Below are 2,268 nucleotides of genomic sequence, written 5' to 3'. Positions count from 1 at the left end.
AACAGCAAGTGAAATAGCAGCTCCTCACGCCTGTAATCCCAGCACTTTGGAAGGCCAACACAGCAGGATCACATGAGCTCAGGAGTTCAAAACTAGCCTGGGCAATATGGCAAAACCCCATCTCTACAACAAATACAAAAATTAGCCGGCCTTGGTGTCACATGCCTGTGATCCCAGCTACCTGGGAGGCTGAGGTGGGAGGATTGCTTGAGCTCAAGAGGTCGAGGCTGCAGTGACAGAGCCTGGGTGACAGAGCAAGATCCTGTTCCCCCGCAAAAAAAGAGGGCCCGGCTCAGTGGCTCACGCCTGTAATACCAGCACTTTGCGAAGTCAAGATGGGCATATCACTTGAGGTCAGGAGGCTGAGGCAGGAGAATCGCTTGAATCCGGGAGGTGAAGTTTGCATTGAGCCGAGATCATGCTACTGCACTCCAGCCTGGGTGATGGAATGAGACTCTGTCTCAAAAAAAAAAAAAAAAAAAAAAAAAAAAGAGAGAGAGACAGCTAGCAGCTCATAGGCTTCGAGAACATGAGAGCTGAGGGTTTGAGTGCCTTTCTGGAGGGAGGGTCCCAGTTCATTGGAGGACTATATTGGTTGCTTGGGGGCACTGATGAAAGTGATCTTTTGGCTGGGTACAGTGGCTCATGCCTGTAATCCCAGCACTCTGGGGGGCCGAGATGGGCAGATCACGTGAGGTCAGGAGTTCAAGACCAGCCTGGCCAACATGGTGGAACCCTGTCTCCACTAAAACTACAAAAATTAGCCAGGCATGGTGGCGTACGCCTGTAATCCCAGCTATTTGGGAGGCTGAGGCAGGAGAATTGCTTGAACCAGAGAGGCAGAGATTGCAGTGAGCCGAGATCGCACCATTGCACTTCAGCCCGGGCAAAAAGAGCGAAACCCTGTCTCAAGAAAAAAAAAAGGAACAAAAAAAAGAAAAAGAAAGAAAGAGGCTGGGCGCAGTGGCTTACGCCTATAATCCCAGCACTTTGGGAGGCCGAGGCAGGCGAATCACGAGGTCAAGAGATCAAGACCATCCTGGCCAACATGGTGAAACCCTGTCTCTACTAAAAATACAAAAAAATTAGCTGGGTGTGGTGGTGCATGCCTGTAGTCCCAGCTACTCTGGAAGCTGAAGCAGGAGAATCGCTTGAACCCGGGAGGCGGAGGTTGCGGTGAGCTGAGATCGCGCCACTGCACTTCAGCCTGGTGACAGAGTGAGACTCCATCTCAAAAAAAAAAAAAAAAGAAAGAAAGAAAGAAAGAAAGTATCTTTTTTTCATCCTTCTTGTAGTCGGATGCACTCCTAAATGCTTTAAACATCAAGTTGATATTTAAGGAATGTGCGTTTGAGAGTGTACCAAATTAGAAACTAGATGCCTATTTGTTTCCATCTCTTCTGATGCATTAAATAGGGTGTGGAGAAAAGGGGACCACTGTACACTATTGGTGGGGATGTAAGTTGGTGCAGACACTATGGAAAACGGTACAGAGGTTCCAATTAAAAATAGAATTACCACATGATCCGGCAATCCCACCTCGGGGTACATACCCAAAGGAAAGAAAACCAGTATGTTGCAGAGGTATCTGCACTCCCATTTTCATTGCAGCATTATTCACAATAACCAAGATATGGAAACAAATAAAGTGTTTTTTATGGATGAATGGCTTAAGAAATTATGTTGTGTGTGTCAGCTGGGTTGTGGTGGCTCACGCCTGTAATCCCAGCACTTTGGGAGGCTGAGGCGGGAGGATCACCTGAGGTCGGGAGTTCGAGACCAGCCTAACTAACATGGAGAAACCCCGTCTCTACTAAAAATACAAAAATTAGCTGGGTGTGGTGGCCGGCGCCTGTAGTCCCAGCTACACGGGAAGCTGAAGCAGGAGAATCGCTTGAACCTGGGAGGTTCTACAACCTCTGCCTCTCAGGTTCAGGTGATTCTCCTGCCTCAGCCTCCCAAGTAGCTGAGATTACAGGTACGCACCATCATGCCTGGCTAATTTATTTATTTATTTTGAGACAGAGTCTCACTCTGTTGCCCAGGCTGGAGTGCCGTGGTGCGATCTCAGCTCACTGCAACCTCTGCCTCCCGGGTTCAAGCAATTCTCCTGCCTCAGCCTCCTAAGTAGCTGGGATTACAGGCCACTGCACCCAGCTGAAAAGAACTTCTTTAGAGAAGAACACACAAAACAAATACTAATCAAATAAAAATTCAAACATTTCACCTTAATCTTAATGTGAAGAACTTCTGTATCAGGCAGAGTTT

Source organism: Homo sapiens, chromosome 12 (genome assembly GCF_000001405.40).
Source record: "Homo sapiens chromosome 12, GRCh38.p14 Primary Assembly".
Taxonomy (NCBI): domain Eukaryota; kingdom Metazoa; phylum Chordata; class Mammalia; order Primates; family Hominidae; genus Homo; species Homo sapiens.
Note: the sequence above shows the minus strand (reverse complement) of the source record.